Here is a 25,946-nt window from a genome sequence, read left to right as displayed (position 1 = left end):
GTGCTACTATTTACTGAATGGCTGCAGTAAGCCATGCATTATGCCTGGCACTGGGTTTGTGGTAGTGTGTTGTGTTCTCACAATGCCACTGTGAAATAAGTCTTATCTTCACTTTATGCTGCTGTAAGATAGGATTTATCCTCACTTTACAGCCCTGGACACTCAGTTTGAAAGCAGCTGAGCCACTTGTCACGGGTCCTGCAGCTAGGAAATGGCAGAGTGTATTAGTCCATATTCACACTGCTATGAAGAACTGCCTGAGACGGGGTAATTTATAAAGAAAATAAGTTTAATTGATTCACAGTTCAGCATGGCTGGGGAGGCCTCAGGAAGCTTACAATCATGACATAAGGGGAAGGAGAAACAAGGCACCTTCTTCACAAGGCGGCAGGAAGGAGAGGTATCGAGTGAAGGGGGAAGAGCCCCTTATAAAACCATCAGATCCCATGAGAACTCACTCATTACCACAAGAACAGCATGAGAGTAACTGCCCCCATGATCCAATTACCTCCCACCAGGTTCCTTCCATGACAGGTGGGGATTATGGGGATTATAATTCAAGATGAGTTTTGGGTAGGGACACAAAGCCTAACTATATCACAGAGCTAGGGTTTTAACCCATGTTTGTTTGATTGCTGTGTCTATATTCTTCTTCTCTACCAATATCATTACCAAACGTTATTACTTTATTCTTCTCTATTTCTAAACCCCTGAGGAATATAACACATTCCTGTCATTAAGAGAAGCTGCTGACTTGAAATGGGAGTTCAGTAATGGCAGTGAGAGGAGATGAAGTAACACCGTTGGAGGAGGTCAGAGCACAGGGTGCCTTAAAAACAAGCCACAGCATTTGGACTTTATTCTCCTTATTTATGCCATCCTGTTTATCAGTATTGATCTGCAGCACTCCAAGGTCCAAGGGACAAAGGCAAGGAAATCTCCAACCTCTCAGAATATGAGAAGATACTATAGTAAATATGTCAATAAATTTTATTCTACAACAGCTCTATGTGGCAGGTTCTCATCTCCATTGTACAGAACAAGAAATTAAGACTCAGAAATCTTAAAGGATTTGCTGAAGGTTGCATGGCCCTTATAAAATGTTACCAGCTCATTTAACTTCAAGACCTCTTCCTGCTATGCTCACACTGTTTGGAAAGTCACATTCTAATCAGACTTGATGGCTAAATCAGTCAGAATCAAATATGCCCACCTATGTTGACATGCTGTGTAAAGATTTTCTGTTCAACGTGAACACATGGTTGCAAACTGATGCCTTAGAGTCTTTGATTGTGGGAGGAGGTCCCTGGGAACACAGACTAGCCTGTCATTGCAGTTCACAGAAGGCTGGACTCAGGACCTGGTGTTCACTGGCAAAACAAGCAGACACTTTGATTCCTGCTGCCCAGTGTGAATGAATACATTTCTACAAATATTTCTGTAGAGTGAGCCACCTTTCCACATCATATGATTGTCACCCTCTCATATCACAGTGCCGCTATGCATTGCATAAAAAAAAATGCTCAGGGGTATTTTCCAGATAAATGGAAGAAGTAACCATATAAGTGTGATTTTTTTCAGCAATTTATATCCATTGATCTTACCGAGTTCTTCCCAGAGAACATCTCTTGCAGATCCGGGTTCTCTCATCGTTTTAGCATTTGCTTAGCCGCTTGTTTGCCCTTCCCAATGCCCAGTTATCACATGTAAGATAAGCATTAAATTGCATATTCCCTGTATTTCACAGTGAGTAAAAGTGAAGGATCTGGTCTCCACCTCTCCACCTCTTTTACGACACTGTTATCATAACATGAGACCCAATGGAGCACATAGGCTGTCACAGATAGTATAGTCTGAAGGTCAGGAAGGGCAGGATGGTAGAAAGCTGAAATAGCCCTGATCAAAAAGACAAGGAGAACAAGGTGGTTTTGAAATATCTGCTAAATCCAGATCCCCAGTCTTGAATCATGATTGGAATTGCTTACTTCAGTTCTATTGATAAATCAGATTTGAAGTCTCCCCTCCTTTGCTTAAGTCACCCCTTAAACAAAGGGGTGATAGGATAAAATCTGCAATTTAGAAAGACAATTTTGAGAGCAGACCAGAGGGCAAGTTGTGACCTTCAAATATGTGTTTTGATTCATTTGTATGTGTTTTTTTTAGAAATATTTATTGTAGACCTAAATTTTAGAGAATATTGAGGCCTGATGAGATAATATAATTGAAAATACAAAAACTGTTCTAAAACTATACATAACTACTTATAGATATTGCTATTGTATTTGATAAATAATAAAAGTAATATTATTGCATTCTAATAAGTAATGTAATTCAATACACTAGTAGTCTTATTGCATTTAAATACAGCAAGGCTACTGCATCATAAAGCAGTACACCTGTGGACATGTCAACATTCAGAACTTCAGCTTTCTCATCAGTAACCTGAGGATAACACTCCAAGCTTCACCATTGGTTAGGGGCATCAATGAGATGAGGTGCATTGAGGCATCATCATGGAGTTTGGCATGTGGCTTCTTTTTTTTTCTTTTTCTTTTTATTTTTTTGAGATGGAGTCTTACTCTGTCACCCAGGCTGTAGTGCAATGGAGCTATCTTGGCTCACTGCAACCTCTGCCTCCCGGGTTCAAGTAATTCTCTGCCTCAGCCTCCCAAATAGCTGGGATTACAGGCGCCTGCCACGACGTCTGGCTAATTTTTTGTATTTTTAGTAGAGATGAGGTTTCACCATCTTGGCCATAAACTCCTGACCTCGTGATCCACCCGCCTCGGCCTCCCAAAGTGCTGGGATTACAGGCGCGAGCCACCGCGCCTGGCTGGCGTGTGGCTTCAGCCACACTTGCAAGATTGAAAATATGTACATTGTCTGATAGTGGAGCAGGTAATGTGCCAGAGGAAACTTGTATTCAGTAGCAGGAGGGTAGAACTGCTCAGGGAATTACATGATCATGTCCTGGAGCTGAGAGGTGTCCAATCTGACTGGTGTCACTGTTATTAGTGACACAATACTGGCATGTACCCCCACCTACTTGAACCGTGTGCTTCATGTCAACTGTAAGAGGCTGGTGGGATTGGTATCCCCATTTCATAGACAGTGAACATATTCAGAGGTAAGTAGCTTTCCACTGTTAATGCAGTGTCCTAAGATGACAGTAAACAACAAATGACAAGGCCGTCTTGGGAAGAGCTTTGAATGTCATCTCCAAAGAGAACTGTGACATGCAGTCAGTTGGCCTAATACCATATTTTTACACTGTAGCTAGGTAAGCTGGGGAAGGGTCATTGGAAGCATATAATTTGGTGTCTGACACTCTTTAATTGAAATCCTACCTTGTGATGCTTACTAGCTGTGTGACCCCAAGCCAATAAATTGCTTATATGAGCCTTAGGTTCCTCATCTATAAAATAATGGGAACACTTACACCCACCTTGACTTTGAAAAGTGGAGAGCAGTCATGGACAGAGCAAATGCTCAGTGTGTGTCACCTTGTCACCTTCTTGTAAGCTTTCCTGATTATTCTCACTCCCAAAGAATATGAAAGCTCAGAATTGAATAAATCAAAGAGATTCAGAAACAACATTAGATTCATATTTAGACAGCAATTGATTTTTTTCTTGGGTAAGAAAAATTATACATCTGCTTCTAAAATATGAAGAGTGGTGATTATGATTCATGCACACATGATTCATAGAGAAAGCTGGAGCTAAAACACAGCTAAACTAATAATATTTTGTCCTTGTGACTAAAGCTTGTCTAAGCTTAGAATGTGTGCCCAGAGTTAGAGCAAGAATCCCAAGGGCAATGTCAATGCTGCTTTTATTTAGTAATAGTGGCATAAGCAGAAATGCTTGTTTTCCCAGAACCCATCTCCGTAAGGTGGATGCGTTTGTGTCTTCTGCAGCTGCTCCCTTCTCTTCATCCACTTGGTTTCTATGTATGGTTGATTTCTGATAATGATACTCAGAGCCAGACTTCACCCTCTCTGTCCTGGGCTATTGCCACGGGTTTTAACTAATGTCCCAACCTCTGATTTCTCTCCCTCTCCAGCAAACCCATTCTCTCTTCTTACTGGGTTGAGCTTCTTAAATCATTGGTCAGAAGTCAACTATGTGGCTAAGAAAACAAGTCATAAACTTGAACATCAAAGAGATTTGGGTAGAATCCTAGATTTATCATCTCACCATGTGAGCTTCAGCCACCTGATCTTCCTGAGCATGAATTTCATCAACTATGAAATAGAGATTACATTTATTTAATACTCTTTTAAAATTATTTTATTTATTTATTTATTTATTTATTTATTTATTTATTTATTTATTGAGACAGAATCTTGCTCTGTCATCCAGGCTGGGAGGGCAGTGGCATGATCTCTGCTCACTGCAACCTCTGCTGTCCGGGTTCAATTGATCCTCTTGCCTCAAGCCTCCTGAGTAGCTGGGACTACAGGCATGTACTACCACATCTGGCTAATTTTTGTTTTTTTAATAGAGACGGGGTTTCACCATGTTGGTCAGGCTGGTCTTGAACTCCTGACCTCAAGTGATCTGCCCTTCTCGGCCTCCCAAAGTGCTGGGATTTACAGGCATGAGCCACCGTGCCCGGCCTTAATAATCTTTTTAAATGAAGATTAAAGATATATATAAAATACCTTACACAGTTCCTGAAATATAACAAGTAATCAGTAAATCTTGTTTTCTTTTCAGTGACTCTTCATTGCTGGAAAAAGTCAGATCTAATTTTATTATGACTTTCTAGGCCTTCCACATGTGTCCTCTACCCTTTGCTATCTGTATACAGTGGACTGCTCTCCTGCCTCTTGCCTCATTGTTCTGTCTGACTTTGTATTTTCCCCGTCAGTCCTCTGGGAACAGATTTTGGATGGACAATGTTCCATTGTCATTCCTTCCTGTGTGCCTTTTGGTTGGGTACCTGGACTGTTTTACAAACATTAAGGTTTTCTGGGGCCCCGTCACCCCCCAACAAATTGAATCAAGCTGAGCCATGGATCTATACTACTGTGTCTAATTTGATGTATATTCATCAAGAATGTACTGTGTGTTCACTCTGTGTTAGATGTCATGGTACATGTGTATCGGAACCAGCTATGGTCATTGACCTTAAGGAGTTCCTATGCTAATAGAAGATGAAAGAGCAAAATATCTACCAGTTAGATTTTGCCCTCTTCTGTTAGTGATGATTAGATGGGAGGTACCTGATGCTACGGATGCTATCCCTATTTTAGGGATGTGGATAACCTGCTTAGGGCAAAATAACCTGTATAACTCTCTCTATATATCAAGCAGAAGGAGAAAAGTACCAAGATGGGTAAGATGACACACCTGGTTTGCAGGACATGGTCAAAGACTGCACAGAAGACCATGATATTAGAGACTGTTGTTTGGGAACAGGTGCAGTTTCAGCAGACAGCTTGGAGTAGTGGAGACCATGCAAGCTTTGGATCCAAAGTGTAGGAATTTGAATACCACTCTTGCTCCTTACCAGCAAGTCCCTCTATCTGGGAAGCTCTTTCACAGAACCTAAGGCCTGTTCATTCTTATCATTCAGGGCTACATTCAGGCATCATATCCTGTGAGATTCCTTCTCTGAACACGTTTTATAAAGGAACATTTTACCTTTATGCTGACTACAATCACTTTCATATCAGACACTGTTGGGGTCCAGTAGTCTCTCCTCTTTTGTGCCAACTTTGTTTATACATGTATCCCTCCTCAACACAATTTAGGGGAGAAGGAGCCTACACCCATCCCCAGGGATCGTTCTGATGGGTATTAGCCAGTTGTGCTGGTCTCCTTCCCTGCCCAGTGGCTGGTTTAGGGGAGGACACATGACACACTTCTGGCTGATGAAGTCTGGTATTGTTGGTTATCTTTGGGTGCCTCTGGGAATGATTTTGTTTTCCTCCCAAGAGAGGCATTCTTAGGAGTGGCCTTTCCTCTGGAGGATGCTCTCTTCTCTTCTTGACTCTCTGTCAATCTGAGTCTGGAGTATCTGTATTCCATCTTGCAAACCTAAAGGGACCCAGCCTTGCATGAAGCTGTAGCCTGAAGGCCACAGAATGGAAAGATGCGAGGATCCTGAGTCCCACGTGACAGCAGTGATTCAGGACATGATATTGTCTTCCTCAAAATCTTCATTTATGGGGGATAATACATTTCTCTATTGTTTAAAACAGGGATTGGAAAAAGTTTTCTGTTAAAGGCTAGATAGGAAATATTTTAAGCTTTGCAGGCCATGTGATCTGTTGGAAGTACTTGAAGATGCAATTGTCACATGAAAGCAGCCATAAAGTATATGTAAATAAATGGGTGTGGTTGTGTTCCAATAAAACTTTATTTACAAAAGCAGTTGTCAGACTAGGCCTATGGGCTGGTTTGTGGACCCCTGGTTTAAGCCATTTGAATCAGCATTATCTCGTTCTTTCAGGTGAAACCATGTCCACTAATGTATTCTCTCTTTCTTTAACCTGATTCATTTAATTAAGAGGCATATTATGAGAAATTATTTACTTGTTTGGTAGTTCAGTCTGTCTGTCACTGGAATACAAGTCCCAAGATGGCAGGGGCATGTTTTCTCTTTCCTAGCACATAAGAGAAGTTTCATTAGTGTGTAAGTGTGAGTGAGTTAGTGAATGTGTGTAAGCTAATTAATCTCTTTCAGTTTCAATTTTAGTTTGATTTTCCCCATTTTCAGTGGTTAATGATAATGTTAGCTGGAGGTGAACATAAATTCTGGTGTATACCTGTTGTCTCTATGTAAATTTCATAAGGCTTTCACTCTTAAAAGTATCCTTAGATAATTAATTATATTAATAGAAACTGTATGGAGACTTACTCTGTGTGGGCATGATATTAAGCTCATTTTATACATTATTTATTCCCTTGGGAAATTTCGTGGTGGTATTCCCATTTTAGGGATGAGGAAACTGAGGCTCAGAGGTGAAATAACCTATCCATGGACATACAGCTGATGGCAGAGCTGAAATGTTTGACTCCAAAGAACAGTTTCGTAATTATTATATTCTGGTAGATTTTATTCCCAAAGATGCCTGTAATAATATTTCCTGTCTTATCCCAGTTGCTCTTTCACAAGTTGACTTTATCACAGCCCCACTGGGAGGCAGGGTCTTTTTACCCCCGTCCTCGAACCCAGGCCAACTCTGCCACCTGGCTTAAAAAATAGAATGTGGAAGAAGTGATCCTGTTTTCCTTCCAAGTTTGAGCCTTAGGAGATTCACAACTTCCACCGTCACCTTGTGGAATGTATCCTCTTGGAGGCCAGCACCTGCCCAGCAGGAGAGAGAGGTTATGTTGAGAGAAGCACATCCCAGCCTCAGCTGAGAGCTCCCAAGCTGGATGTGGAGGTGCCCATCTGAGTTCTGCTTAAATTCCTGATCCATAGAATTGAGAGCAAACAAATCATTATTAATTTAAGCCACTGAGTTTCAGGGTGATTTTATGCATGTATATTAAAAATACATACTAATTGTCCTTGCAGTGTTCTTCTGAGCTTCGGAAGAAGCATATACCAAGCATCTTACTGGGTGTGTGGCACATAACAGGTGATCAGTAGTGACTATTGTTATCAATACAGATGGAAGTGGGAACAGCATGGGCACAGTGAGGTGTTTATGAAGCAGCAGCCGTTTGTTGCAGAGTAAGCTTCCTGAAGGATCAGGAGAAGACAGAACTGGGAAGGTGGTGAAGGCGTGGAATACCATGGGAAAAATTTACATTAAATTTGCAATCACTATAGCCCTTCTCTAGAAAGTGCTGCGTTGGCTGAAATTTCATACTTCTGGCATGCTATTAAAGAAACTCGGCATAGTAGAAAGAGTTTTGCATAAAACAAAACCAACAAAGATAGGGCCTAAAACCCATTTTCACCCTATCTTGCTGTATGACTGTATGACCTAGAATTTATCTTCTCAGGCCTCAGTCAGTTTCTTTCTCCAGTATGGTAGTTGGAGAGTGTTTCTGAAAAGGGCTTTCTGGATGTTAAAAAAACATAGTTCTAATTTTTAAAGTACCTAAGAGCAAATATCTGTTGTCAGGATAGTGCCTTTGATCTCTGCTCTGGACTGGCCGCCAACATCTCTGCCTCTGCTGTTCTACTTGTAAGCTAGTGTTTTAACCCAGCTTAAGACAAAACACAGTCATCATATTGGATTTGCAAGTAGTCATTAACAGAAAGCTGTCCTTGCTACAAGCTTGTAAAATTGCTATAAAGGAACCAGAGAAGAGGCTCTGAAAACAAATTAGCATTTCAGAGAAGCAGTTGGAGTTAGTCAGCTTTCTCATTTCTTTTGTCGTCAACAAATTGTTGTTTGCTTCCTTTACGTGCCAAGAAGGTGCAGTTAAAATAGAGTTCGTCACATGGGGCTTGGATTCAGACACGTCCCACATTTTTTCTCCAACAATGGTGGTAGCCACAAGGATAGCAGCAATAATGGTGATGATAATAAAAGCCAATTCAAGGGAGAGCTATTAACCACCTATCATATACCATGCAAGTTTTATAGGACATGGGCTCAAAGTGTGAATAGGACATGGTCCTGTACTTGTGTTACTCATAGCCTGTAGGCAAATAAATTACAGTGAAGTGAGGGTAAGTGCAGAGGTACAAATAGTGCCAGGTTTCTTAATTTTACCTAAGGAATAGGAAACCTTCCCAGACCTCATCAACTAGATCCAATGCCCCGTTATACTCTTTTAAAGATACCCATATTTTTTGTCCATAGCATTTACCACAATTGGAAATTGCATTTCAGTGTGATGCATGTGAGCACTCCCCTTCTCCCCCACTACAAAAGATAAGCTCTGAAGAACAGGGAGTATGACTTTTTATTCACCATTGAATCCCCAGTACGTTGGCCACTGCCTCCTACATAGTAGGCCCTTGGGGGCAGTTTGTGGAACGAAATAGAGGCATAAATGATCTGATAAGACTCCCCAGAGAATGAGATATTCAAATTAAATTTCGAGGTATAAATAGAAGCCTGCATCCAAAACAGCAGAAACAAAAGCAAGTCTAAAAATAACGGGCAGTTTAAAAGGAAAGTGGGACCTCATTAGCCCTTTGTTATGAATGGGCAGGGATCCCTACTAAGACTCATGAACATGTGGATCTTTAAGGAGGTAGCTTTTGTGGTGGAGGGAGCCTGGCATAAAAGTATCAAGAATCAGTGGGTTCTAAGTTTGCTTCCTGCCAACATTAGCTGGGTGAACTTGAGGGCATTGCTTGACCTCTCTGTGCTACCATTAACACACCTGCAAATTGAGGAATCATGACTCCAATTTTATGATTCCTCTGTTACACAAGATATGAGACAATGAGACAATGGCCTAGGCACTGAAATAAATCTCTGCCTTAGTACCCCAGCTGTAAACAGAGAAATCACAATTATGTTGCAAGCAGAGACAGCTTGATGTCTGGATCTATCATTCTGAAAGTTCGTAATTTCAGTAGTCAATTACTAGCTAAGATAGTTTGGGCGTTGGACTGTATACTAGCTGTGGTTTTGAGTCCCAAGTTCTGTAGGCCCTAATTGTGTAGGATAGATCTATGTATTACTTAGTCAACGGGAGACTTCATTTTCTTATTTAAAAATGGGAGGACAATGCCCAATTCCCATAGTTACTGTTAGTTTATTTTATTTTATCTTTTTCTGTTAAAAATATCAACAGACTATCAGTACTATTCCAGGGGATGATTGGATTATAAATTAACATAAAACATTTAGCCCAAAGTTTGACACCCAACTAATGGAAGCCTATTATGATCGTGGTGCTGTTATTGCTATTGGAGAAGTAGGCAAAGTATCATGGGAGTTAAAAAGAGTGAGAGGACTTTGAAGAAATAGGTACGCTTTGCACAGGTTGGTGGATGAGAATTCTGAGAAGATGGAACCATCTGGCTTGAGACCAGGTGGAGAAATCCATGGGGCATATTTGGGATGAGTAGGAAGTTTGTTATGGCAGGAATAAAAGATGTATCAATGAAGTACAGGCAATATAAATTAAAATATGGAAAATGATCAGGGAATGATGTTACATCGATTTCAACAGCAATATACAATATATTGTACATTCTAGGGCTCGATTGACATAGCTATGTTATGTAATGTGTTTAGATCTACTCTTAATAAGTGCTGCTACATGGTTTTCTAAACAATGTAGTGGCCTAACCTTAATGTAATAGCATTTACAGGACACGTTTACTCACTCACTGACCCATTACAAGTATTTATTATGCTGGCAAGTTGTTGCAGTGTTAAGTTTTCAAATTTCATTCTCACTTTCACTTAGTGAAAGTAGATATCATAATTATTGTCTCATAGGTCAAGGTTCAGAAAACTTAACTTATATTTTTGAATGATAGTTTTTGTTTCAGGATAAAAAATGAGAAATTTTGGAGAAATCAATTTAAAAGCCATGTCTCAAAATTCAGTGCCATGTAACAAACTTTTAAGTATTTTATTAAAATATACATTTGTAGAATGCATATATATATATTTGTAGAATGCATAAATATTATATATATATATATATAATCTTGATGAATTTCTTCCAACTCAAAGATTCAGTTTAACTAGCACCCAGATCAAGAAACAGAATATCACCTACACCCCCAAAACTCCCTTTTGTTCCTGTCTACACATAATCACTCCCTCTTCCCCACTACCAAAGGTATTTACAATCCTGAGTTATAACACCATAGGTTAGTTTTGACTATTTTTGAACAGGTTTATACAAACAGGATCAGACAGTATATATTTTTTCTGTTTGGCTTCTTTTGCTCAAACATTATTATGCAATTAATCCAAATTGCCATATAGAATAGTATTTTATTCTATTATATCATAATTCTTGTCTCATAAGTCAAGGTTCAGAAAACTTCATTTGTATCTTGGGAAGATAGTTTTCATTTCAGGATAAGAAAATAGGAATTTTTGGAGAAATCGAGTTAAAAGCCATATCTCAAAATTCAGTGCCATGTAAAAAATTTTTAAATATTTTAAAAGGTAGATATCATAATTCGTGTCTCATAGGTCAAGGAATATGTGTTTAGGTCTACTCTTAATAGATTCTTAATAGAATAATAATATCTTAATCCTGTCTTAATAGAATAGTATTTTATTCTCTTTGCCATGAAGTGTTTTAAAGTATGACTATACCACAATTCAATTACCCATTCTAATGAGATTTGTATAAATTATAGTATTAGATTATGATAAAAATGATAATAGCATTCTCATACATGTCTTTTAATGTATATATATACACATTATATATATGTATACATATATTATACATATATAGTATACATATGTGTATATAGTTGAGTATATCACCAAGAATGGCACAGTTGTGTAATGAGGTACATGCATGCTTAGTTTTAGTAGATATTGCTAAATAGTTTTCCAAAGTAGCCATACCAATTTACACTTCTCCAGCAATATACAAAAATTTCAGTCATTTCACATCCACATCCACACTTGGTAATCTCTGCTTTTATATTTTAGCTTAGCCATTCTGGTCAATATGAAGTGCCATATTATGATGTTATTTTGTGCTTACCAGATTACAAATGAAGTTTGATGTAGTCTTCCTTGGTACAATATTTTGATGTACAACTTGAGGCTTAGAGTTTTTTCTGGTTGTGCTTAGCATTATATATATATATACACACACACACACACACACATATGTGTATATATATATATAAAACATACATAAAACATTTTATATATGTGTGTGTGTGTATATATATATGTGTGTGTGTGTGTGTGTGTGTATATGTATGTGTGTGTATATATATATATATATATATATATATATATATATATATATATATATATGTTGGCCTGGCTGGTCTCGAACTCCTGACTTCAGGTGATCTGCCCGCCTTGGCCTCCCAAAGTGCTGAGATTACAGGCATGAGCCTCCACGACAGACCCCATAGTATATTTATATTCTCCAGTTCCTGTGAACTTTTTGCTGGTGTAAACCGAGCCTCATTCTTTTATGTGACTTCAGCACCTAGGACAGTACCTGACCAACAATTGTTTGACCAAAGTTCAGGAGAAAGCATGGTATCTACACTGAGTAAGAGTTGAAGCCAGGATGAAAAGCCAAGCCTGTCTGTATTCATTCTACTCTGAAGAGGGTGAATGAGGCTTAGCACACTCTTTCTTCTCCATTACACTAGAATCATTCCAAATGGAATGTTCATTTAAGCCAATGAGAGGAGCTGCTCTGAACAATAGGATTCTGGATGGCCACTATAGAGACCACACCTTCAAGAGCCAGAGGTGCTTTCTCTCTGGACAGTTTTATGAATACATAAGGAGGTTCTGTCCCCACTCCCTTCGCAACCGCATCTTATTGGTGAGAAGCCTTACTCAGAATAATATTTACCTTTTCACCAACTACACATGATGTTTCCAAGCAAATGCTTGTGGCCTGAAAGCTATGCTCTTTGAGATCTGGTCCTGCTTCTTATTTGCTCTGTTTGAACTTTGGTCAGATTGCTAGTGCTCTGAGTCTTTTCCATCTGTGATACTGAGCAATCTTACCCACATCAAAGGCTGCTGTAAGGATCAAATGTATCCATGTATATAATACTCAGGAGAGTTCATGGCAACAAGTGAACACCCACTCAATGCCAGCTCTTATTACTTTTAAAATATATAATGCTTGTACACATTATGGTAGCTCTTATTATGAATGGTGAAATTAAGTCAAAGATAAGGATGACCATGTGGTTGGCCCAACATGGCTTTGGGATGAATTTGTGACAGACATATTCTGAAGTGACAGATAATCAATGGAGTTGGCTGGCTCATTGAGCCTTACAAAGGCTAAATGGTAGCAATGCACTGTAATGTACTTTGAATAGCAACCTGAGGAATGAACAATATTCATAAAATTCAATGTGATGGATGGTTCAAAAAATGTCATGGTTTGTAATTTTAGAAAGCAAAGACAAAATGGAATCCTGAAAGTTTTCCCTACTCCTCATAGTGTTATTTTACCCATCAGTTTATTTATTGAGACAACAACTAAGTATCCAATAAGTAGAGGCACTAAAATCTAGTGGAATGGACAAGAGTTTTGGGGTAAGGCACATCTGAATTTGAATTCTAATGTCATTGCTTCCTAATTGTGGATCCTTGAACAAACCACATAACCTGACAGAGCCATAATTTTCTAGTGTTAAAATAGGGAGAGCACTGGGAAGTTGTAAATATTCATTGAGATAATGCATAGAAATTGCTTAGTCTGACATTTAGCACTAAGAAACTACTTTGTCAAGGGTAAATTTTAAAGTAGATACCCATTTGTGCAGATCTTTGTGCTAGAATCTAAGAAGGTATTGAAGATATATACATCTACATGTCTTTCTCACTGTTGTGGGAAGTCAGGGACCTCGAACGGAGGGACCGGCTGAAGCCATGGCAGAAGAACATAAATTGTGAAGATGTCATGGACATTTATTAGTTCCCCAAATTAATACTTTTATAATTTCTTACGCCTCTCTTTACTGCAATCTCTGAACATAAATTGTGAAGATTTCATGGACACTTATCACTTCCCCAATCAATACCCTTGTGATTTCCTATGCCTGTCTTTAATATCTTAATCCTGTCATCTCATAAGCTGAGGAGGATGTATGTCGCCTCAGGACCCTGTGATGATTGCGTTAACTGCACAAATTGTTTGTAGAGCATGTGTGTTTGAACAATATGAAATCTGGGCACCTTGAAAAAAAGAACATGATAACAGCAATGTTCAGGCAAGAGAGAAAACCTTAAACTCCAACCGCTGGTGAGCTGGGCAGAACACAGCCATATTTCTCTTCTTTCAAAAGCAAATGGGAGAAATATGGCTGAATTCTTTTTCTCAGCAAGGAACATCCCTGAGAAAGAGAATGCACCCCTGAGGGTAGGCCTCTAAAATGGCCCCCTGGGGTGCAGCCGTCTTTTATGGTCGAGCTGTAGGGATGAAATAAGCCCCAGTCTCCCATAGTGCTCCCAGGTTTATTAGGATGAGAAAATTCCCACCTAATAAATTTTGGTCAGATAGGTTGTCTGCTCTCAAACCCTGTCTCCTGATAAGATGTTATCAATGAAAATGTGTGCCCGAAACTTCATTAGCAATTTTAATTTTGCCCTGGCCCTGTGGTCCTGTGATCCCGCCCTGCCTCCATTTGCCTTGTGATATTCTATTATCTTGTGAAGCTGATGATCTCTGTGACCCACACCCTATTCATACACTCCCTCCCCTTTGAAAATCACTAATAAAAACTTGCTGGTTTTGCGGCTTGTGGGGCATCACGGAACCTACCGACATGTGATGTCTCCCCCAGACACCCAGCTTTAAAATTTCTCTCTTTTGTACTCTGTCCCTTTATTTCTCAACCTGGCTGATGCTTAGGGAAAATAGAAAAGAACCCATGTGAAATATCGGGGGTGAATTTCGCCCGATATCTGGCTGAATTTTCCCCGATATCTCCCTAAGTAGAAAGCAAAGGCTTTTTTTCCGCTAACTTTTATTTTAGGTTCAAAGGGTAAAAGTACAGATTTTTTACATAGGTAAGTTGCCCCTTGTCTGGGTTTGGCTTACAAATTATTTCATCACTCAGATACTGAGCATAGTACTCAAAAGGTAGATTTTCAATCCTCACCCCCCTCCCACTCTCTACCCTCATGTAAGCCCTGGTGTCTGTTGTTTCCCTATTATTGTACATGTGTACTCAGTGTTTAACTCCCACTTATAAGTAAGAACATGTGGTCTGTGGTTTTCTGTTCTTGTGTTAATTTGCTTAGGATAATGGCCTCCAGCTGCATCCATGTTGGCGGCAAAGAACATGATTTCATTCTCTTTTATGATTGCATCGTATTCCATGGTGTATATTGACCACATTTTCTTTATTCAGTCCACTGTTAATGGATATGTATGTAAATTACATGTCTTTTTGCTATTATGAAAAGTGCTGCAGTGAACATATGAGTATATGTGTCTTTACAGTAGAACAATTTATATTCAATTGGATATACACCCAATAATACAATTGCTGGGTTGAATGATAGCTTTTTGTTTTTGTTTTTGTTTTTGTTTTTTTCAGAAATCTGTAACCCAAACTGCTTTCTACAGTGGCTGAACTAACTTATATTACCATCAGCAGTGTATAAACATTCCTTTTTCTGTTATTTTTTGACTTTTTAATTGTAGCCATTCTGACTGGTGTGAGATGATATTGTAGTTTTGATTTGAATTTCTCTAGTGATTAGTGATGTTGAGCATTTTTTCATATGCTAGTTGGCTGCAGGTATGTCTTATTTTGAGAAGTGTCTGTTCATGTCCTTTGGCTTTTTAAAAATGGGGTTATTTGTCTTTTGCTTGTTGGTTAAAGTTTATTATGGGTTCTAGATATTAGACCCTTATTAGACAAATAGTTTGCAAATATTCTCTCCAATTCTGTAGGTTTTCTGTTTAATCTATTAATAATTTCCTTTGCTGTGCAGTAGCTTTTTAGTTTAGTGAGGTCCCACTTGCCTATTTTAGTTTTTGTTATAATTGCTTTTAGAGTCATCGTCATAAAATCTTTGTGAAGGTGGATGTCCAGAATGGTATTTCCTAGGTTTTCTTCTAGGGTTTTTATGATTTCAGGTTTTATGTTTAAGTCTTTAATCCATTTTGTGTTGACTTTTTTGTGTATGGTGAAAGGGGGAGTCCAGTTTTAATCTTCTGCTTATGGCTAGCCAGTTATCCCAGCACAATTTATTGAATAGGGAGACCTTTTCCATTGCTTGTTATTGTTGACTTTGTAGTTGTGTGGCTTTATTTCTGAGTTCTCTAACCTGTTCTGTTCCATTGGTCTATGTGTTTGTTTTTGTACACATACCATGCTGTTTTGGTTTCTGTAGCCTTGTAGTGCAGTTTGCAATTGGGTAATGTAATGCCTCTAGCTTTTTTCTTTTTCCTTAGTATTGTTTTGGCTATTCAGGCTCTTTCAGTTTCATATTAATTTTGGAATAGTTTTTTCTAATTCTATGAAAATGATATTGGTAGTTTGATAAAAATAGCATTGAATCTGTAAATTTCTTTGGACAGTATGGACATTTTAACAATGTTTATTCTTCCTATCCATAAGCATGGAATGTTTTTCTATTTGTTTGTGTCATTTCTGACTTTTTTCAGCAGTTTTTGTAATTCTTGCTGTAGAGTTCTTTGACATCCCTGGTTAGCTGTATTCTTAGGTGTTTTATTATATTTGTGACTATTGTGAATGGGATTGCATTTTTTATTTGGTTCTCAGCTTAGACATTAATTATGTATAGAAATGCTGATTTTGTACATTGACTTTTGTATCTTGAAACCATACTGAAATTGTCAGTTCTAAGAGCTTCTATACAGAGACTACGGGATTTTATAGGTGTAAAACCATATCATCTGTGAAAACAGATAGTTTGTCTTACCTTTTCCCTATTTAGATATATATTTTTTTTTGACAGAGTCTCGCTCTGTTGCCCTGGCTGGAATGCAGTGGTGCAATCGTGGCTCACTGCAAGCTCTGCCTCCCCAGTTCATGCCATTCTCCTGCCTCAGCCTCCTGAGTAGCTGGGACTACAGTTGCCTGCCACCATGCCTGGCTAATTTTTTTTGTATTTTTACTAGAGACAGGGTTTCACCGTGTTAGCCAGGATGGTCTCAATCTCCTGACCTCATGATCTGTCTGCCTCTGCCTCCCAAAGTGCTGGGATTACAGGCGTGAGCCACTGCACCCAGCCTGGATGTCTTTTATTTCTTTCTCTTGCCTTATTGCTCTGGCTAGTACTTTGAGCACTATGTTAAATAGTTGTGGTGAGATTTGGCAGCCTTGTGTGGTTCCAGTGCTCAAGGGGAATGCTTCCAGCTTTTGCCCATTCAGAATTATGTTGGCTTGTAGGTTTGCCTTAGACATCTCTTGTTATTTTGAGGTATGCTCCTTTAATTCCTAGTTTGTTTAGGGCTTTTAATATAAAGGGATGTTGAATTTCGTTGAAAGCCTTTTCTGTGCCTATTGAGATGATCATGTGTTTTTTGTTTTTAGTTCTGTTTATGTGATGAATCTCATTTATTGGTTTGTGTATGTTGAAACAACTTGTCATCCTAGGAAAAAAAGCCTACTGATCTTGGTGGGTTAGCTTTTTGATGTGCTGGTGGATTTGATTTGGTAGGAGTTTTACATCTACATTCATCAAGGATAGTGGACTGTTTTCTTTTTCTGTTGTGTCTCTGCCCAGTTTTGGTGTTATTAATAGAATGATGCTGGCCTCATAGAGTGAGTTAGAGAGGAGTCCCTACTCCTTGATGTTTTGAAAATATTTCAGTAGTTTTGGTGTCACCTGTACTGTCTATATCTGGTAAATTTTGACTGTGAATCTCTCTGATCCAGGGCTTTTTATGATTGATAGATTTTTTATTATTGATTCAGTTTTGGAATGCATTATTAGTCTCTTGAGGTGTTCAATTTCTTCCTGGTTCAGTTTTGGGAAATTTTATGTTTCCAGGAATTTTATCAATTTCTTGTAGGTTTTCTAGTTTGCATGCATAGAGGTGTTGTAATAGTCTCTGAGTGTTTTTTCTTTTTTTCTGTATTCCTGTTGGGTCAGTGGTAGTGTCCCCTTTGCCATTTCTAATTATGATTATGTGTATCTTCTCCCTTTTTTCTTTATTAGTCCAGTTAGAGGTCTATCACTATTACTTATTTTTTCAAAGAACCAGATTTTGGTTTTGTTGATCTTTTGTATATATTTTTGTATCTTGATTTCATTCACTGAATCTCAATTATGGTTATTTCTTTTCTTTTGCTAGCTTTGGAGTTCATTTGCTCTTGTTTTTCTGGTTCCCCTAGGTGTGATGTTAGGTTGTTAATTTGAGACCTTTCTGTAACTTGATGTAGGTGTTTAGCACTATTAACTTTCTAACACTGCTTTAGCTGTATCTCAGAGATTCTGGTATGTTGTATCTTTGTTTTCATTAGTTTCAAAACATTGATTTCTGTCTTAATTTCATTCTTTACCCAAAAGTTACTCAAGAGCAAATTGTTTGATTTCCATGTAATTGCATGGTTTTGAGATATCTTCTTGATATTATTATTTTTAATTGTGCTGTGGTCTGAGAACATGGATATGATTTTATTTTTAAAAATTTGTTGAGAATTGCCTTATGGCCAAATGTGTGGTTGATCTTAGAGTAGTTGCCATGTGCTGATAAGAATAATGTATATTCTGTTATTGTTGGGTGGAATGTTCTGTAGATGTCTGTTAGGTCACTTTGGTAAAGTGTCGAGTTTGGGTTCTGAATATCATTGTTAGTTTCCTGCCTTGATGATATGTCTAATACTATCAGTAGGGGGTTAAAGATTCCTATTATTATTGTGTGGCTATTTAATTGTCTTTGTAGGTCTCTAAGAACTTTTTTTATGAGTCTGGTGCTCCAATGTTGGGTGCATATGTATTTAGTATAGTTAAGTCTTCTTGTTGAGTTGAACCCTTTATCATTATGTAACACCATTCTTTGTCATTTTTTATTGTTGTTGGTTTAGAGTCTGTTTTCTCTGAAATAAGAATAGCAACCTCTGCTCTTTTCTGTTGTTTTCTGTTTGCTTGATAGATCTTTCTCCATTTCTTCACTTTGAATCTGTGGCGTCATTGCATGTGAGATGGGTCTCTTGAAGACAGCATACAGTTTGGTCTTCTTGCTTCTTTATCCATCTTGCCACTCTGTGCCTTTTAAGTGGGGCATTTAGCCTGTTTATGTTCAAGGTTAATATTCATATGTAAGGATTTAATTCTGTTATCTTATGTTAGCTAGTTATTATGTAGACTTTATTGTGTAGTTGTTGTAGTGTCAGTGCGCTATGTGCTTAAGTATGTTTTTTTTTTTTTTTTGTGGTTGGTGAGTGTTTTTTTTTTCTATGTTTAGCACTCCCTTAAGGACTTCTAGTAAGGCTGATGTGAAAAGAAAATCTTTTTCAGATCAGCAAACACTAAGATAATTGGTTACAGATTTGTTAACAAGTTCCCTTAGTGTTTGCTGGTCTGAAAAGGATTTTATTTATCCTTCATTTACGAAGCTTAGCTTTGCTAGATATAAAATTCTTGGCTGGAATTTCTTTTCTTTAAAGATGCTGAATATATGCTTTCAATCTCTTCTGTCTTGTAAGGCTTTTGCTGAGAGTTCTGCTGGTAGTCTGATGGAGATCCTTTTCTACATTATCTACCTCTTCTCTCTAGCTGCCTTTACTTTTTTTTTTCATGTTGACCTTGGAGAATCTGATGACTATGTGTCTATAACTAATTTTGAATGGTCATCTTGTATAGCATCTCGCAGTTTTCTGGATTTTCTGAATTTGTATATTGACCTTTCTAGTAAGGTTGGGGAAATTTTATGGACAATATCCTCAAATATGTTTTCAAAGTTGCTTGCTCCCTCTCTTTCTGCGATGCCAATGAGTCATAGGTTTGGTCTTTTTACATAATCCCTCATTTTCCCAAGGTTTCATTCACTTTTAAAAATTCTTTTCACTTTACTTTTGTCTGAGTTGGTTTGAAGAACCAGTATTCAAGCTCTGAGATTCTTTCATCATCTTTGTATATTCTGCTGTTAATACTTCTGATTATATTATGAAATTCTTATAGTGAGTTTTTCAGCTCTAGGAGATTACTTTTGTTCTTTCTTAAAATAGCCATTTCATCTTTCAGCTCTTATATAAATTTTATTGGATTTTTTAGATTCCTTGGATTGGGTTTCAACTTTCTCCTGAAACTTGATGATAATCATTATCATCCAGATTCTGAATTTGACGTCTGCCATTTTAGCCATTTTAGCATGGTTAAGAACCATTGCTGGGAAGTTAGGGCACTCCTTTGGAGGTAAGAAGACTGGCTTTTAGTGTCACCAGAGTTCTTATGCTTATTTTTTCTCATGTGAATGGGTTGATGTTCCTTTAATGTTTAAAATTACTGTATTTTGGGTGGGATTCTTTGATGCTTTTGACTGTGGTATAGTTTGGGCTTAGTTAATTGGCTTAATTTCTCATTGATTTCAGGGGTCCAAGGCTTAGCTCAGCACTCTTGGGCTGTGTGCACTAACTGTGGTAGTCTGGGACCAGGCCTGCATATTTTTTCTCTCTGGCCTCTCGAGGTTAAGCACCTGCTGTGTTGGAGGAGCCAAGGTGTCCCCAGTCCATTGGTAACAATACTGTCATGGGCAATGCTGGCAAGCATGCTTCAGCAGGGCAGTGGTGGGGCAGTGGCTGGTCCCATGTACACATTCATGCCAGTGGCAGCCAGGGGAGATTGTGGGCGAGTGAGCACTAGCAAAGCAGCAAGGAACGGCTGGGGGTGAGTATACACCAAAAAAGCAGCATGGGGAGAGGGTTGCTGGTGGTGAGGGCCTGCCTATGGAAGCCCTCCAGCTTTAGGCAGGTCTGCCAGTGAAAGAGCTATGGTGCAGGCCACTGGCAGGTGCCTGGGCTGGGCAGCTGAGGCTGTGTTGCAACTAGGTGCAGTCAGGCAGGGACTCTGGGATAAGCCAGCAGATGAGGACAGTCAGATCAGACTGGCCCCCTCCCATGGGAAAGATAGCCCTGCTCTGTTCAGGTCTGTCAGTCAATCAAGGCTAAAGCCAGCTAGAGGGGTATTGTGAGCCTAGGAGGATGAGCACCAATGACTGTGCTCCACTATAGTTGTTCCCAAGCCATATTCTCTAAGCTACATGCAGGCTGGAGTTCTGTCTCTGCCATCTCTCTGGGCAGTTTCCTGCCAGCTTAAATGTCCATCGGGGTTGTGGAATCTCCTGAAGCTAGGATTCTGGAGGTCCATGATGAGACTGGGCCACTCCATGCCTCTTTCACACACCTCTTCCCCAGGATCCACTCTGGGCCAGGACTGAGTCCTGGTGCTTGGCAACTCCATGCAGGGCTTCTACCTTCCTCCCCTTTTAGCCTTGCATCTGCACCCTCCCTCCATTCACTCTCTGTGCCTTCTTTCTGGAGATCTGTTTGGAGTGTGCTAATCTTCTTGATGATTTGGTATCTTGGTGGGAGAAGCTCTTCCTGTCCACATCTAGTCAGCCATCTTGCTCAAAAGTAAAATCTTTGGGAATAGGAATTATGTTTGTTTGGTTTCAGCTCAGTATCTCCAGTGCTTAGAAGAATATCTGACATACATTGGTGTATAATAACTAATTTTTGAATGAGTGAATGAGCAAGACATAAATCTGACCCTCTGGAACTTATACAGAGAAGGGGAAAAGATAGACTAAAAGGATGATAACACAAGATAAAAAGTGAGGCATTAAAATATGATTATGCATATTATTATATTTTACTCCAGCTGTATTAGACTGGATGAAATAAAACAAGTACCAAACATTGTGCAAAACAACAGGTCTTATGTATTATGTAAGTCACATGCCCTTAGGAGGTGACAACATTAATATCTCATTTTGCAAATTAAAGGTTCAGGGAGGTTAGGGAATTTGCTAAGGATCATGTAACTAGTAAGTGGCTGGTCTGTTTGACTTAAGCTCCTGTGCTTTAACCTCTCTATTGCTCTGCTTTACTATTCTCCTAGTTTTGTACTCCAAAAGTACAGAGAATTAAGATTTATTTTGTCCTGGGGGATCAAGGGAAAGTGCCATCTAAACTGTGCCTTACAAACTGAGCTGAATTTTGATACATGAGGGAGGATGAAGAAAGAGAGTCTTGCAGACTGGGCAAAAAATTGAGGACCAGGCATGAATGCTCCAAGGGAAGGGAGAGGAGGTTGTCCAAAAGGCTGCAGAGAACATTGAGGCTAGCAAAGGGCATTGAGGGAAGAACAGAGAGGGCTTTGACTGCTATGCCAAAGAAGTAGAATTTTAGTTTCTAGACACCGTGAAACCAATGGAGATATTTGATAAACACATAACCATGTGAAACATATTTCAGGAGATGGGCCTATGGGGATGTGAAGGATCAGAGCAACTTGTTACTATGTCACTGTCATTCATTCTCAGATGCTGGAGAGTATTAGGATTCCCCTTGGGGCCATATTGTCTTGATTAGCTCTTCACACTAATTAACTCCCTCTTGCCCTTCTGTCTTCCACCAATTAAATTATTGATGATCTCCTGCAAAGTCATCCTCGGCTTTTTTCCTTGGGAAGCTTCATGGGAAATGGAAAGAGTTGTAACATAAATTCAGGAGACCTGAGCTTCCCTCCTATCTCTGATGCTACTTCGCTGTGTCTGGCAGTGTCTCTCCCCATCCCTGGGTCTCAGGTTCCAAACTCTAAATTGAGAGAGCTGGCCTGGAAAGTTCCATACTGGGCAAAGACTCTATGATTAAATCATTTGTCTTTGTCACCACGAGAGCTAAACTGGGAGCTATGAGAGTGTTGTGAGGTCAGAGTCAGTTCAACATTGTGGGAAGGGAGCTGTTAATAACAGGACACCTGCTCTGGGCCAGATGCTGTGTGAGTCCCTTTACTCATGGTAACATAGCCCACCAACTTAGATTTGCAAAAATGGAGCTGTTTTTTGTAGTTGAACCTCATTTTTATTCTAATCTCCAGGCCATAGATTAACAACAACAGCAAAATCAAGAATTTCTCCTCACTTTTCTGTGAGGTTGAAACCAAGTTCTTGGATTTCCAGAGAGCTATAGTATTGGAGTTGAGAATTGAGCATGGGGATTGAGTATTTAGCTTGTGATCATTATCTTCCTCACCAGCATCCTTTGAGTTTTACATCTTCCCATAGGATCCTCAGTCATTAACTTCTCACTGCTTATCCCGAGTTGCTACTTCTGGATTCTGGACCCTTTAAGGTCCTTTGATAGGAAACCATTTGGTGCTTGGAGAACTCAGGGACCTGCTGTGTGCCCAAATTCGAATGAGGGATGAGGACACAGATCATCTCTGCACAGAGATTCCTCCATGTCATTTCATGTTTTTTTCTTTAGAATTAGGACACTCAGCCAGGTTTGAAGGTGGGGTGAGAGCATGCATGGAGCCTCTTAGTGGGGGACTGGTAAGTGCTACAGCCATCTTCACTTCCCCTTTGACTCTGTCTCAGATTCTCTTAGTCCAATCAAACTCTATCCAGTTTTTAGGTTGAAGAGTGGGGAAAAAAATTAATCAGTTAATAATCTCTTGAAGCTACTATTCATGGCCAAATTCCTGGAGTTTTGAAGTTTCAAATTCTTTGTTATTAAATTAAAATCTTACTCATTAAATTCAAAAGTCTGTTTGAAAACTTAAAATTAAGGATAAACTATTCTCTTCTTATGTCTGCAATTCTAATGCACCATCTCTTTTGGGGGGTGTTTCGGGAATGAAGAATGCCCAATGGCCCTAGATTATAGGTAGAACAGGAACAACAGTCTGTACTAGAAGAAAACATCTCTTCATGTTTCAAAGTTGTTCTCCATTCATTCCTGTGATTGCTGCTATCATCCTTTGTACAAGGTCATGCAGGCACATATGGTTCAGTTGTATGGATGAGAAAATTGAGGCTCAGTGGGTGAGCTGACTTGTCACAGGTCACAACCTAGAAAATAATATATCAGATATCCTCTATATTCATTATTTAGGTAGAAACAGAATGAACTGTCTCAAGTGCTAATGAGCTTCTTATATATTTTTTGTGCATATATATATATATATATATGTATTTGTGTGTGAACAGGGGAACTTAAGCATATTGTATTTATTAAATTATCACACACATTCTTTGGTCTCAAAAGTCATTGATCTGTAGACATTTCCAAGGTTGTAGAACTTTGGACACTTCATGCTCTCACTCTTGAAAATAAGGTTGATGTTAGAGGTGGGATATTGGGAAGTGAAGGGTGTAGGCCTAGCCAAGGCAAGAGGGGAGGTGAAAAATGCTTGTCACCCACCCCCCCAGGTTTATTCTGCACGTTTTACCATGTCATCTCATAAGCTCTGAAGTGCTAGAGGAGGAGGGCCAGATTGTCTGCCTTGCTGAACTGCACTGATAACAGCAAACTGGGTGCAGGCTGAATATGGAACTGGTTGAAAGAGTGTGAGTTTTTATTCCAGTCACCCTAACTTTCAACACAGAATTGAGTAGCTTTCAGATTTATGTTGAAATTGTCAGCACGACATTCAAGGGAAAATTGGTTTTAGTCATTCTTCTTGCTTTATTGGATTTATTCATTCATTCAATGAAGAGTATTAAGCACTGAAGGTGTTAGATGAATATACTATGGTTGTTGTTCCAGCAAAGTTTATAATGTTTTTTATGAAAAATGAATAAGGCAGTCAGATGTTCTAGTTTCTTCTGAGATCTCAGAGAAGGAACACTTCGTCCAAAGGGAGGTTTTTAGAGAAGGCTTCCTAAGTTGCTGGATGAGACAAACTTTAAAGTGGTATCATTAAAAATACATAATAATTAACTAGAAATTTGGATGCTATTTGTGGCAGGGGGAGTAGATGAGCAAAGACTTGGAAGTATGAAAGGGTGATGAGACAGGGGAACTCTACACTGGAAAGTACCAATAAGGAATGAAGAGCAAGGGAGGGAATGGGTGGAAGGAGTTACAGGAGAGTGAGTTAGGAGGGAAAAACTTCATCAATTCTATTTGAAACTTGTTCACTGAACTGCTTTGTGTCTTCCATTTTGTTATCTTCTCTCATGAAGATAAGAAAGAGGCTATAAGAACAAAATAAAAATATAGGGAATTATAAAACTTTCAAATTAAAAGGAATACGGTCCGGGTCACTCAACCATACAGAGAAGAGGCTTGATAGTTTCACTGACTGAGCATCTCTGATGTATTAGACAATGTCCATCCTAGCTTAGATTGCCCAGAAATCACAGCCCAACAAAGGCTTCTGCACATGCAGTTTTGGGAGATGTGATCCCAGGGAGCAGGAGAGAGAGTCAGGAAGCAAATCATGGAAGGAGAGATTGCTGATGCAAGTGTTGCCAGGTGGCTGTCTCTGTAGGTATTGTTGCATACTTTCACAGTTACCATACAACAGTTCCTGAAAAGCAGTAAGAAATGTATCTCAGGATGCCATTTCCAGGAAAAAGGAAAGGGGAAATCATGTATTATCCATTGTTCCATTGCCCTCTGGTCAAAGATTTGCACCATAGCAAGTTAACTTATCTGCAAAATAGACATGCGTGGGTGCAAGGCAGGTGGGAGGAGACAGGTACAATATAAGACAGAAGCAAAGTCGGACCAGATTCCACCTGCATGAAGGTGACTGGAGCCCAAGCAAGACTGGTCACCTCAAAGATAACTGGATTCGGAGCCAGGTGAGTCCCAGAGGACCTGAAGAAGTGTGTTGGAAGAATCTGATGTGAACACTTTATTAGTCTTCTCTGCTGTGTAACAAATTACCCCCCAAGGTTAGCAGCTTGAAACAAAAACGTTTATTTTGTCACAATGTCTGTGATCAGGAATCTGGGTGTGACTTAGCTGGATTATCTGCCTGAGTCTCTGACTAAGCTGCAATTAATGTGTTGCCTGGGGCTGCAGTCCTCTTAAGAAGGACTCACTTCCTTTTTCTTTTGTTTCTTTAAATAATTTCAGCTTTTATGTTAGATTCAAGGGGTACATTTGCAGATTTGTTGCATGAGTATATTGCATGATGCTGAGGCTGGGGATACAAATGATCCCATCACCCAGGTAGCGGGCATAGTATCTAAGAGTTGGTTTTTCAGCCCTTGCCCTCCTTCCCGACTGCCCCTTCTAGTAGTCCCCACTGTCTATTGTTGCAATTTTTATGTCCATGTCTAACCAATGTTTAGCTCCAACTTATAAGTGAGAACATACGGTATTTGGTTTTTTGTTCCTGCATTAATTTGCTTAGGAAAATGGCCTCCAGCTGCATCCATGTG

The 25,946-nt window shown here is 39.1% G+C and overlaps 1 protein-coding gene across 13 annotated transcripts in view; it reads left to right on the top strand.

Moving 5' to 3' along the window:
• FAM135B (family with sequence similarity 135 member B) overlaps nt 1–25,946 on the top strand; it is a 367,708-nt gene that overhangs the window by 59,870 nt on the left and 281,892 nt on the right. Inside the window, exon 1 of one of the 13 annotated variants that reach the window (XM_011517059.2) lies at nt 11,973–12,425. The exons of the other annotated variants lie outside the window; for them this stretch is intronic. The gene's annotated coding sequence lies outside the window, so the exon portion shown is untranslated. Of the gene's footprint in view, nt 1–11,972; nt 12,426–25,946 lie in introns of those variants that run through there. 13 annotated transcript variants of the gene reach the window in all.

Source organism: Homo sapiens, chromosome 8 (assembly GCF_000001405.40).
Source record: "Homo sapiens chromosome 8, GRCh38.p14 Primary Assembly".
In the NCBI taxonomy this organism is placed as follows: Eukaryota; Metazoa; Chordata; class Mammalia; order Primates; family Hominidae; genus Homo; species Homo sapiens.
This window is presented reverse-complemented; position numbering and strand designations above follow the sequence as displayed.